The sequence below is a fragment of the Homo sapiens genome, chromosome 14 (assembly GCF_000001405.40).
Source record: "Homo sapiens chromosome 14, GRCh38.p14 Primary Assembly".
Lineage (NCBI taxonomy): Eukaryota > Metazoa > Chordata > Mammalia > Primates > Hominidae > Homo > Homo sapiens.
The window spans coordinates 102,096,068-102,108,626 of NC_000014.9; the positions used below are offsets into that span (position 1 = coordinate 102,096,068).

Genomic DNA, 12,559 nt, shown 5'->3' on the forward strand with positions numbered 1-12,559 from the left:
GAATGCTGGGCACCCACATGTCACCAAGGCACCTCCAGCCCTGCCCACAACCCACCTGAGTTCCCCAAGGCAGCCTAATGGGGCACCATGGTCAGACCTGACCAGGGGACCTGGTAATTTAAGAACATGGCAGAGAAATAGATACGGAGAAAAGGGAGGTAGGGGTGGGGTGTGCACCAAGAATATGTGGCTGCATTGTTTTCTGGTTTTGTTCCAGCCTCACCTCCTCCGAGCTCACAGCAGCTCCATTCTCTCGCCCCTCCCTCCAGCCTCCAGGGGCAGCAGATCCTGCTAAGTGCACTCAGGGCCCCTCAGATTCAACATTACAGCATTCCTTTTCATTCACTCTGATTACTGCAGCAGCCCAAGGGTCTACGGTCTGCCCCCGATCATCTCTTCATGCTGGGTTGTTCTCCAAATGCACCTGGAACCTCTTGCGATGCCCTTCTCCAGGCAAATACGTGTCTGCCAAGCTTGGCTTGGAAATCACCTGCTCTGGCCAAATTCACTCTGGATGCCTCCTCCACAGCTCTTAGTCCCTGGTGTGAATTGAAATTAGACTCTGTCTTTCTCGTCTCAAGACGCAGCACATGGCACACAGCCATCTATGTGTGCTGAATGGATAACTGAATTGCTTTCCAGCGGGACCAAATGGGAACCCTTCGCCCAAAGGCCGTGATAAACCTTTGGCGCCACCCACTGGCCAGCTAATTGGTTGTATATGGGGCCTCCAGTTGGAAATGTCTTTGAAGTTTAGGAATTTCATTTTTTCGTTATTCCCTGTGTATGGGAGAATCAGGAAAGTGAGAATTATGTGACCTCCAGTATAGATCACCATCATTAATGTTTCACCCTGAAAAGTTCATGGCAAAGCTTCTAGCCTTTCATGGAGTGGGAATGAAACTGTGTAAGAGAAGAAAGCAATTTTTTTTTTTCTTGAGACACAGTCTCGCTCTGTCGCCCAGGCTGGAGTGCAGTGGAGTGATCTCAGCTCACTGCAACCTCCACCTCCTGGGTTCAAGTGATTCTCTGCCTCAGCCTCCCGAATAGCTGGGATTATAGGCGCCCACTACCACACCTTGCTAATTTTGTATTTTTAGTAGAGACGGGGTTTCTCCATGTTGGCCAGGCTGGTCTCAAACTCCTGACCTCAGATAAACCGCCCCCCTTGGCCTCCCAAAGTGCTGGGATTACAGGTATGAGCCACCGCGCCCAGCAAAAGCAATTTTTTTTAAAGAAGAAAGAATGGAGGGTTAAAAAAAAAAAAAAGGAAAATTTGAAGCAAGCTGAGTCTTAAGGTAGAGAGAGCCAGGGATTGTGGATTGTGGACAGCCCTCCCTGCTCCTCCCCAAAACCTCCCAGGATCTCCCTTACGACTATAGGGTGGTGGGTACAAAGTGGGGGTGGGTGCAGGCTGGCTCTCCCCTCCACTGCTGCTCCTGTTCTGGTCTTGGCCAATGCAAGAGCAGAGGCCTTTGAGTCCCCCCAAGGGCAACCTCTGGTTCAGCCAGTGGAAGAACAGGCCTAGCTGGTCCGTCCAGTGCCCAGAGGGCTTGTTTATCCTCAGATACCCCTCGAGGTGGGGTGGGTTAAAACTGAAACTAGAGGAGGAATGAGCAGATGTGATGTTCCTGCCTGGTAGGGGAGCTGATAGTTCCTTTGTCTACACTAGCCAGGGATCACCTGGCTGTCAGGAATTGCCTATGTGGCCAATTGACCAGGTAGTGGGTACCCTGATCAGGCCACCTTGTCACGAATGGGTTGTGAGTTTCAGTGCAGACTTCCTTATAGACTCTTGGGCTGGGCCTACCGGTCCTCTATAACCTGGTCCTGTCAGCTTCTGCCCTCATCTCCAAACCCTGCAATAAAAGGCCCTCCCACCCCAGCACCCGGCTAGTTCACACCTCTGCTCTCATGCTGTTCCTCTTCCCTGGAAAATGGCCACTCCTTTAGGAGACAGGTCAACATTATCCCTTCCGGATGCCTTCCCTCCCTGCCACCTCCAGGGAGAGGGAGTGTTGGCTTCTTTATTCCTCCTTGACTGACCTGGGGGCAAGTCTCTTCTCTTTAAGCCTCGGGTTTGTTTTTCTTTTTCTTTTTTTTTGTTTTTTTGAGACAGAGTCTCGCTCTGTCTCCCAAGCTGGAGTGCAGTGGCCTGATCTCGGCTCACTACAACCTCCGCCTCCCGGGTTCAAGCGATTCTCCTGCCTCAGCCTCCCGAGTAGCTGGGACTATAGGCGTCTGCCACCACGCCCGGCTAATTTTTGTATTTTTAGTAGAAATGGGGTTTCACCATATTGGCCAGGTTGGTCTCCAACTCCTGACCTTGTGATCTGCCCGCCTCAGCCTCTCAAAGTGCTGGGATTACAGGCTTAAGCCACTGCACCTGGCCTTTTTTTTTTTTTTTTTTTTTTTGTGACAAAGTCTATCTCTGTTGCCAGGCTGGAGTGCAGTGGTGTGATCTCAGCTCACCACAACCTCCGACTCCCTGGTTCAAGTGATTCTCCTGCCTCCGCCTCCTGAGTAGCTGGGATTACAGTCATGTGCCACCACACCCCGCTAATTTTTATATTTTTAGTAGAGACAGGGTTTCACCATGTTAGCCAGGATGGTCTCGATCTCCTGACTTCATGATCTGCCTGCCTTGGTCCCCCAAAGTGCTCTGTCGCCCAGGCTGGAGTGCAATGGCACGATCTTGGCTCACTGTAACCTCCGCCTCCGGGGTTCAAGTGATACAGTCCTTGAGCCGCTGCACCTGGCCAAGCTTCAGTTTTGTTGTCTGTAAAATGAGGAGTAGGGATGGGACAGTTGGACCAGGTGCCATTTCTATCTTAATGTAGTTCTAAACTCTTTCACTAGAGGACAGAAAAGCTAGGGTAGAAGTGGATTATTAAGTAGAGCTGAGCAAGAATGAGCTGAAACCTCCACACATTGCAAACACCCTGTACCTTCTCCAAAGTTAGAGCAAGCAAGCATTATGCAAATGTTTTATAAACTGATGTGTCCCAGTCCCAATTAATAAGTTGTGGCAAATCATAATGCTAAGTTCATACTTCGAGTGGCTAAGGGATATATAATAGCCAACTAAAAAAATTTCTAAGCTACTTCATAATGTATTATTCCAAGCAGCACTCCAAAGCATACAGCATGCTGCTTATAAATTGAAAACCTTTTCAACAATTTTGTATTTCACTTAAAAATGCAGGAGAGGCTGGGCACGGTGGCTCAAGCCTGTAATCCCAGCACTTTGGGAGGCCGAGGCATGCAGATCACCTGAGGTCAAGAGTTCGAGAGCAGCCTGACCAACATGGAGAAACCCCATCTCTACTAAAAACACAAAATTAGCCAGGTGCGGTGGCGCATGCCTGTAATCCCAGCTACTTGGGAGGCTGAGGCAGGAGAATCACTTGGATCTGGGAGGCAGAGGTTGTGGTGAGCCGAGAGCGCACCATTCACTCCAGCCTGGGCAACAAGAGCGGAACTCCGTCTCAAAAAGAAAAAAAATGCAGGAGAGAGAACTCCCTAACATTGCATTTCAGTCAACATTCAATCTTGTTCCCCACATTAAAACAGCTAGCTAATTAAATGTGACACGTGTGTTTAGGGCTGGTGAAGAACACTCTGCTTTACGAAGGCCAGTGGCTGATGTTCTTACTAAGTGAGAAGGTGGACGCTTCATGCTTGCTTCTGTTTCCCAAGTGTCAGCCCGTTAGTGCTACTGCCCAGCGGCGGGTTTCCTGATGTCCCTCCGTTCTCACAGGGACCCTGGGTTTCCTGTCATTAGTGGTATCTCTTCTAAATTCTGTTTTAAAATTCCAAAAATAAAATTATAATGTAGGCTGGGCATGGTGATTCACGTCTGTAATTCCAGCACTTTGGGAGGCCAAGTTGGGTGGAGAGCTTGAGTCCGGGAGTTCAAGACCAGCCTGGGTGATATAGGGAACTCTCATCTTTACAAAAAATACAAAAATTAGCCAGGCAGTGGTGGCATGCGCCTGTGGTCTCAGCTAACTGGGAGGCTGAGCAGGGAGGATAGCTTGACCCAGGGAGGCAGAGGCTGCAGTAAGCTGAGATTGTGCCACGGCACTCCAGCCTGGGTAGCAGAGCAAAACTCTGTCTCGAAAAAAAAAGAACTATAAATATTCAAAACAATTATTATGTAAAAATTTTCTCTTTAAAACCGAACAGCTGGTAAATCTCCCAGTGGTTTTTGAGGAAGGATAGCAGTGTTAGGAGCGTCAGGCTCACAGTGAATTCTCTCAGGGCTTGGTTCTGTCAGCTATTATTGGGCCACTGCAATGCAGCCTGGGCGACAGAGTGAGACCCTGTCTCAAAAAAACAAAATTTCCAGTCTGGTTTTTTTTTTTTTTTTTTTGAGATGGAGTTTCACTCCTGTTGCCCAGGCTGGAGTGCAATGGCACGATCTCAGCTCCCCACAACCTCCGCCTCCCGGGTTCAAGCGGTTCTCCTGCCTCAGCATCCCGAGTAGTTGGGATTACAGGCATGCACCATCATGCCCGCCTAATTTTGTATTTTTAGTAGAGACAGGGTTTCTCCATGTTGGTCAGGCTGGTCTCAAACTCCCAACCTCAGGTGATCTGCCCGCCTGGGCCTCCCAAACTGCTGGGATTACAGGCGTGAGCCACCATGCCCAGCTCTGATTTTAATTTGCATTTCTTTGATTAGTAATCCTATATTTTCATTATTTACTGGCCATGAGTTTAAATCCCTGCTCTGCTATCACTCTATGTGACTTTGGAGAGACTACTTGACTTCCATGTACTTCAATTTCCTCATCTGTGAAGTTCCTCTCTAAAGAAACTGACCAGCTTCAAAGACGTATAAACTCTGACATGGCGGGACGGGCTCTAATGAAATTCCTGTATCCTTACCCACAAATCACAAAGCTTCTAGTCAGTATTTTAGTACCTCCCATTCTTGTTCAATAAATTACCACGTGCTGGACACAGCCGGCTGGGGGCTGTGGCTCCAGAGATGCTTGAGGGAAGGTCAGTCACCAACTGTCCATCTCCTCCCAGCATTCAAAATTTGGTTCACTTCTCTCCCCTGCTGCTTTCTCCTCTCTCATTCTTTTGTCCTGTGGCTGCATGAGATACACACATATATAATGTTCACTGCCATATTAGCAGGGCTCCAGAAGGAACACAGATGAATGCAAATGTTCCACCCACTGTGTCTAACCAGAGGCCAGAGTGACGTTCTAAGGCACTGAGTGTGACTGTTCCTCCAATGCTCAGCCCCTTCCGTGGTTCACTGTGACTTTTGGGTCAAGCCCAAACTCCTCAGCATAGCCTGCCCAGGCCCCTCCAACACTCCCCCATCATCTCTTGCCACCACCACCCTCCTAGGGTTCAGTCACTCCAAACCCCACTGCCCGCTTCTTCACGCCCCTCCTGCCCACATTCCTCCCCACTTTTGCTTATGCTGTCCTCCGTGAGTGGGTGCTCAAGGCGCAGCTCACAAGCCACCTCTTCTGGGAGCCCAAGGGATTGGATTGTCTTTCTCTTTTCTCCCACAGCACTTTGTCATATATGCGCTATAGCCCTGTATTATGATGATTGTCACATGCACTCCAGGCAGGGACCTGGGACTCTCTTGGACATTGCCTGGGCCTGTAGTGGACCCTCAGTAGATGTCAATGCAGTGGATGGGTAGGCAGGGAATAAACAATAAAGAGAGTGACATTGTTTTAGCTTTCTGTGACTCCAACCACCGGTTGGTTGGATGGATGGTTAACATTAGCTAGAAATGTTTAGGATAGTAATTTTAAACCTTAGTCCACTTACCAGTAGCCTAAGCAATATAAATGGCTGCAGATCCTTGTAGAGGTGTTGCCCTGCACCTTGGCTCTGTCTGAAGGCCAGTGACGCGGTGACAGGGAATGCAGAGACGTGGAAGGGCTGTTTCCAGAGACAGAGTAGAGTGGTGGATCCAGACACCATCAGATGCCAGAGAAACACTTGGGCCTTTTCTTGGTACCAGTTAACAGGTGCCCTGCTGGGAACATAAACACAATCTTCTGGACTTCCAAACCAAACATAACAGAGATAGGGCGGCAGAGGATGAACTTGGACAGCCCCAAGCAGGCATGCCCTGGCTTCCTTAGACTTCCTCTGTGACTGTCAAATGGATTAAAATATGTGATATGTTCTCTTCCTGCAGGAAGTTCAACTTGGGAAATGGACCAGGGTCCCAGTAAGGAGCTGGGCTTCTCTGTGGATGCTGTATGGCCTGATCCCCCACTCCAGCAGTGCTTCTCTGGGTGGCCAGGTGCTCTTGGACTGGGCTAGAGGGCCTGCAGCAAAAACTAGAACTTAGTTGTTATTATTCCAGGCTCCATTCAGACTTATCCTAATGACTCAACCAACTGCAGGAGAGCTGCACTGAAGGGTCTGGAATTCTGGTTGGGTTTCAAAGTTAGTGGCTAAGGGGAAAATTGAATCCAGGGGAAGTGTCCCCCTTGAAAGCCCCTTAGGAAAGTAAGCTAAATGCATCAATGACACGAGTTCCCTGTTCCACACTCTGTATGAAGAAGAGGCTCTGCCACGCATACGACTTGTGAGAGTTTCTCATCAAATGGGAATAGTAATGTCTACTTCCTATGATTATTCTAGAGACTAACTTTAGATAAAATATGGGGAAATATAGTACATAATAAGCACTCAAGGCCGGGAGTGGTGGCTCACGCCTGTAATCCCAACACTTTGGAGGCCAAGGGGAGTGCATTGCTTAAGCCTAGGAGTTTGAGCCTAGCCTGGGCAACATAGTAAGACCCCCCAAAAAAGAAACAAAATAAAAAGAAGTGGGGGGCCAGGTGCAGTGACTCACACATGTAATCCCAGCACTTTGGGAGGCCGAGGTGGGCAGATGACCTGAGGTCAGGAGTTTGAGACTAGCCTGGCCAACATGGTAAAACTCCATCTCTACTGAAAATACAAAAAAATTAGCCAGGCATGGTGGCACATGCCTGTAATCCCACCTACTCAGGAGGCTGAGGCACAAGGATCACTTGAACCCAGGAGACAGAGGTTGCAGTGGGCCAAGATGGTGCCAATATACTCCAGCCTGGGCAGCAGAGCGAGACTCAGTCTCAAAAAAAAAAAAAAAAAAAAAAAAGCAGAAGTGGGAGTTGATTTTTTTTTTTTTTTTTTTCAGATAGGGTCTCGGTTCTAGTGCAGTGGCATGATCATGATTCACTGCAGCCTCAACCTGCTGGGCTTAAGCGAGTCTCCTACCTCCTACCTCTGCTTCTCGAGTAGCTGGGACTACAGCCGCACACTACCATGTCTGGCTAATTTTAAGAAAAATGTTTTGTAGAGGTCAGGTGCATTGGTTCATGCCATAATCCCAGCATTTTGGAAGGCTGAAGCAGATGGACTGCTTGAGTCCAGGAGTTTGAGATGAGCCTGGGCAACATGGTAAAACCCTATCTCGGCTGGGTGTGGTGGCTCATGCCTGTAATCCCAGTACGTTGGGAGGCCGAGGGGGGTGGATCACCTGAGGTCAGGAGTTCGAGACCAGTCTGGCCAACATGGTGAAACCCTGTCTCTACTAAAATACAAAAAATTAGCCGGGTATGGCAGTAGATGCCTGTAATCCCAGATACTTGGGAGGCAGAGGCAGAAGAATTGCTTGAACCTAGGAGGCAAAGGTTGCAGTGAGCCAAGATCGCACCATTGCACTCTAGCCTGGGCAACAAAAGCAAAACTCCGTCTCAAAACAAAAAAAAAAAAACAAAAACCCATCTCTACAAAAAAATATAAAAATTAGCCAGGTGTGGCGGTGTGCACCTGTGGTCTCAGCTAGTTGGGAGGCTGAGGGAGGAGAATTACTTGAACATGGGAGGTGGAGGTTGCAGTGAGCTGAGTTCGGATTACAGGAGGCGGAGGTTGCAGTGAGTTGAGACTGCACCACTGCACCCTGTCCTGGGTGACAGATTGAAATTCTGTCTCAAAAAAAAAAAAAAAGAAATTGTTAATGTGGGTTTGATACTTGGATGAATCTCATCAGCAGCCTTGTTCCAAACAACCTCTTAGGAGCCAATGATACTGATCATGAATGGAGTTGGTTTTTAAAAAAATTATAGATGTATAACAGTTCACATATTTTTGGGGTACATGTGATATATTTTTTTTGAGATGGAGTCTCATTCAGTCTGTTGCCCAGGCTGGAGTGCAACGGCAAGATCTTGGCTCACTGCAACCTCTGCCTCCTGGATGCAAGCGATTCTCCTGCCTCAGCCTCCCGAGTAGCTGGGATTACAGTCATGCGCCACCACGCCCGGCTAATTTTTTTTGTATTTTTAGTAGAGACAGGGTTTCACCATGTTGGCCAGGCTGGTCTCAAACTCCTGACCTCAAGTGATCCGCCTACCTTAGCCTCCCAAAGTGCTGGGACTACAGGTGTGAGCCACTGCGCCCGGCCTACACGTGATATTTTGATGCATGTATGTAATGTGCAATGACCAAATCAGGGTAATTGGGATATCCATCTCCTTATTTTTCTTTGTGCTGAGAACACTACAGTTCCTGTCTTGTAACTATTTTGAGACATATAAATTATTAACTGATTTCTCTACTGTACTCTTGAATACCAGAACTTATTCCTTCTAACTGTATTTTTATACCCATTAACCAACTTCGACTCATCTTTCCCTCTCCTTTCCCTTTCCAGCCTCTGATAACCATCATTCTACTCTCTACCTCTTTTTTAGCTCTCACATATGAGTGAGAACATGTTGTATTTGTCTTCCTGTACCTGGCTTATTTCACTTAACATAATGACCTCCCATCTATCCATGTTGCCGCAAATGACAAGATTTCATTCTTGGCTTGGCGCAGTGGCTCACACCTGTAATCCCAGCACTTTGGGAGGCCAAGGTGGGCAGATCACGAGGTCAGGAAATCGAGACCATACTGCCTAACATGGTGAAACCTCATCTCTACTAAAAAAAAAAAAAAAAAAAAAAATTCAGCCGTGTGTGATGGCACGCCCCTGTAGTCCCAGCTACTCAGGAGGCTGAGGCAGGAGAATCGCTTGAACCCGGGAGGTGGAGATTGCAGTGAGTGAGAACGTGCCACTGCACTCCAGCCTGGGCGACAGAGTGAGAGTCTGTCTCAAAAAAAAAAAACAAAAAAAAAACCAAACTTCATTCAACAAACACTGATCTAGTTTACAATGTCCAGGCGCTTTGCTAGGGCTGGGGATTCAAAGAACACCCAGTTCCTCGTCCTGGGAGCTCACTGTTGGAAAGACAGATGCAAGAACATGTACTTGTATACCCTGATGTAAAATAGCCTCAGGGAGTTATGGGGGCACAGTGAGGACGAGAAAAGGCTTCCCAAAGGCAAATGGCGCCTGAACTGAGTAGTAAGGAACAACCTGGGTCAGAGTGGAAGAAGGCATGCCAGATGGAGGGGACCGTGTGTGCAAAGGCACAAAGGTGAGAATCAGCATGGTAGGTGCTAGCGGTGGCTAGAGCACAGCTGGTAGGCATGGAGCTATGCAGGAAGAGGGCTTGCAAGGGAGACAGGGCCTGCATCTGCAAGGTGTGGGCTTGCCTGCCAGTGGGGAGTGTGTTCTCTGTCCACAGGGAAGGTCATTCATTCTGAGATTTGTGTTTTAGGTAGATCTTCATGGCTGTGTTTGGATTTGAGGGTCACAAGTCTGGACACATGGAGACAATTAGAAAGCTTTTGAGACTGGGCATGGTGGCTAATGCCTGTAATCCCAGCACTTTGGGAGGGTGAGATAGGTAGATCACCTGAGGTCAGGAGTTCCAGACCAGCCTGGCCAACATGGTGAAACCCTGTCTCTACTAAAAATACAAAAATCAGCCGGGTGTGGTGGTATGCACATGCGCCTGTAATCCCAGCTGCTCGGGAGGCTGAGGCAGGAGAATTGCTTGAACCCATGAGGCTGAGGTTGCAGTGAGCCAAGATGGTGCCACTGCACTCTAGCCTGGGCGACAGAGTGAGACTCCATCTCAAAAAAAAAAAGCTGTTGAAACGGTTCAGGCAAAGGAGGAGAGAGTTCCGTGAAAGTAGGTGCCTGCAGTGTGGTTCATTTACGTTTACATTGTGTATTGGTAGAGCCTGGCTTTTCCAGTTCTTTGTTCAGAAACAGCTTTCTCAATCAATGGTTCTTGACCACTAAAAGCATCTGTCCACAAAACTATTCATTTACTCCTGGAAGTTTTTCACTATTTTCATAACAATGGATATCAAAATCCATTTTTTGATCAAAGTATTTTGTTAGCTTTTGACTTTCAGTGAGCAGGGAAGAGCCATCATTTAATCAAGAACCTTTTGTTCTGTCAGCTAATATCAAGTAGGGAGCTTCTTTAAAAAGAAATCCTGATTATGCAATCATGAATAATCATGATGAAGATGAAAAGAGGGAAGTAGTAATGGAAACCAGTGTGCCCGCCTGAGCTCCCTGTTGAGCTAATTTTTTTTTTTTTTTTTTTTTTTTTGAGACAGAGTCTCTCTCTGTCGCCCGGGCTGGAGTGCAGTGGCACAACTCAGCTCACTGCAACCTCCGCCTCCCAGGTTCAAGCGATTCTCCTCCCTCAGCCTCCCGAGTAGCTGAGATTACAGGCGCCTGCCACTACGCCCAGCTGAGTTTTGTATTTTTAGTAAAGATGGGGTTTCCCCATGTTGGCAAGGCTGGTCTTGAACTCCTGACCTCAGGTGATCTACCCACCTCGGCCTCCCAAAGTGCAAGGATTACAAGTGTGAGCCGCTGCGCCCACCCTGTTGAGCTAATGTTTTGAGAGGATGGGCAAAATATAGATGAAGGGAAGTATAATCAGAGATGGATCCTGAAGAATGACACAATCCTGAAAAATACTGTCAGGAGGACTGTGCTGTAATTTGCCAGAAATTCTAAGGAAAATAAAAAAGGTCTTTAAAGTTATTCTTAGGGCAAGAAGAACTAAGAAAGCATAGATCTACTGCTTAGGGGATGATATACAGTGATACTGAGAGAAGGCACAAATACTCAAACTTTATAGACAGAAGAACTGTTGTCAATGACAATAATTTCAACTAAGCCTATGGCCAGTTCCTCCTCATATCCTGAGCCCTTTAAGGAGGCGAGGGTGGGGAGTCTGGAAGCAGTAGTGCCCCAACCCTGGCCTGCCGCACATCCTAGAGATTCCTCTCACCACTTCCCTGTTAGAATCCCTGTTTCCTACATCTCATGCTTGCTTCTTTCTTGGTTTAGCCCGTTTTTTTTGGTTTGTTTGTTTTTTTGAGACGTAGTGTTGCTCTATTGCCAGGCTGGAGTGCAGTGGCATGATCTCGGCTCACTGCAACCTCTGCCTCCCGGGTTCAAGCAATTATCCTGCCTCAGCCTCCCAAGTAGCTGGGACTACAGGTGCACGCCACCATGCCTAGCTAATTTTTGAATTTTTAATAGCAATGGGGTTTCACCACGTTGGCCAGGATGGTCTCGATCTCTTGACCTCATGATCCACCTGCCTTGGCCTCCCAAAGTGCTGGGATTATAGGCATGAGCCACCACTCCTAGCCTAGCCCCTGGTTTTGCAGAAGCACATTTTCCACAAGCACAGAGGATATGTAGGGGATATGGCAAGTACTAGCAAGGATGCTGGTGGGTGTGACAGCTGGTGTGGCTGTTCTGGAGAGCCACCTAGCAGTTTCAGTCAAATGAAGAATGTGTGAACGCTCTGTCCCACCAATCCTGTTCCTGAGCACAGACCCAAGGGAAGTTCTGACAAGGATCCATAGGAGGGCACGTATGAAGATGCTCACTGTAATACTGTTTGTGTCTTTGTGTGTATAAAGGCTTCTGGTTTCTGTAATTGTATACCCTATCATTTCACTGAATTCTCTCTTAAATTTTTTTTTTTTTAGAATTGGGGCCTTGAAGCCCAGGTGCAATGGCTCACACCTGTAATACCAGCACTTTGGGACGCCAAAACACGAGCATTGCTTGAGACCATTTTGAGACCAACCTGGGCAACATGGCGAGGCCATGTCTCTACAAAAATTTTAGAAAATTAGCTAAGTGTGGTGGCATGTACCTGTGGACCCAGCTACTTGGGAGGCTGAGGTGGGAGGACTGCTTGAAACTGGGAGGTTGAGGCTGCAGTGAGCCATAATCATGACATTGCACTACAGCGTAAGCAACAGAGCGAGACCTTGTCTCCAAAAAAAAAAAAAAAAAAAAAAAATTGGGCCTCGTTCTGTTGCCCAGGCTGGACTTGGACTCCTGGACTCAAGCAATCCTCATACCTCAAGCTAGGACTACAGCCTTGTGCCATGGTGCCTAGCTTTGAATTCTTTTTTTAAAAATTGTTTTATTAATAGCAGTTTTTTAGTTGATTTTCTTGGGCCTTGTAAATATTGATCCTATCATTAACAAATAGTAAAACTTTTAACTTCTCTTTTCTAATTTTTACACATCTAACTTATAACTTTTTTTTTTTTTTTTTTTTTGAGATGGAGTCTTGCCCTTGTTGCCCATGCTGGAGTGCAATGGCGTGATCTTGGCTTACTGCAGCCTCAACCTC

General features: G+C 47.5%; 1 protein-coding gene across 2 annotated transcripts in view, besides 1 other annotated feature; it reads right to left on the reverse strand.

Moving 5' to 3' along the window:
• The window catches only part of HSP90AA1 (heat shock protein 90 alpha family class A member 1), a 59,008-nt gene that overhangs the window by 15,326 nt on the left and 31,123 nt on the right, over positions 1 to 12,559 (reverse strand). Inside the window, exon 2 of one of the 2 annotated variants that reach the window (XM_011536718.3) lies at positions 5,808 to 6,015. In XM_011536718.3, coding sequence (XP_011535020.1) covers positions 5,808 to 6,015 — 208 coding nt within the window. Of the gene's footprint in view, positions 1 to 5,807; positions 6,019 to 12,559 lie in introns of both variants that reach the window. The other variant, NM_001017963.3, reaches the window with a different exon arrangement.
• Positions 617 to 716: a silencer, noted in NCBI's record as "silent region_6110". NCBI's record gives its function as "represses an Ori minimal core promoter by ATAC-STARR-seq in GM12878 lymphoblastoid cells {active_cell/tissue: GM12878}" and the evidence as "EXISTENCE:reporter gene assay evidence [ECO:0000049][PMID:35858748]".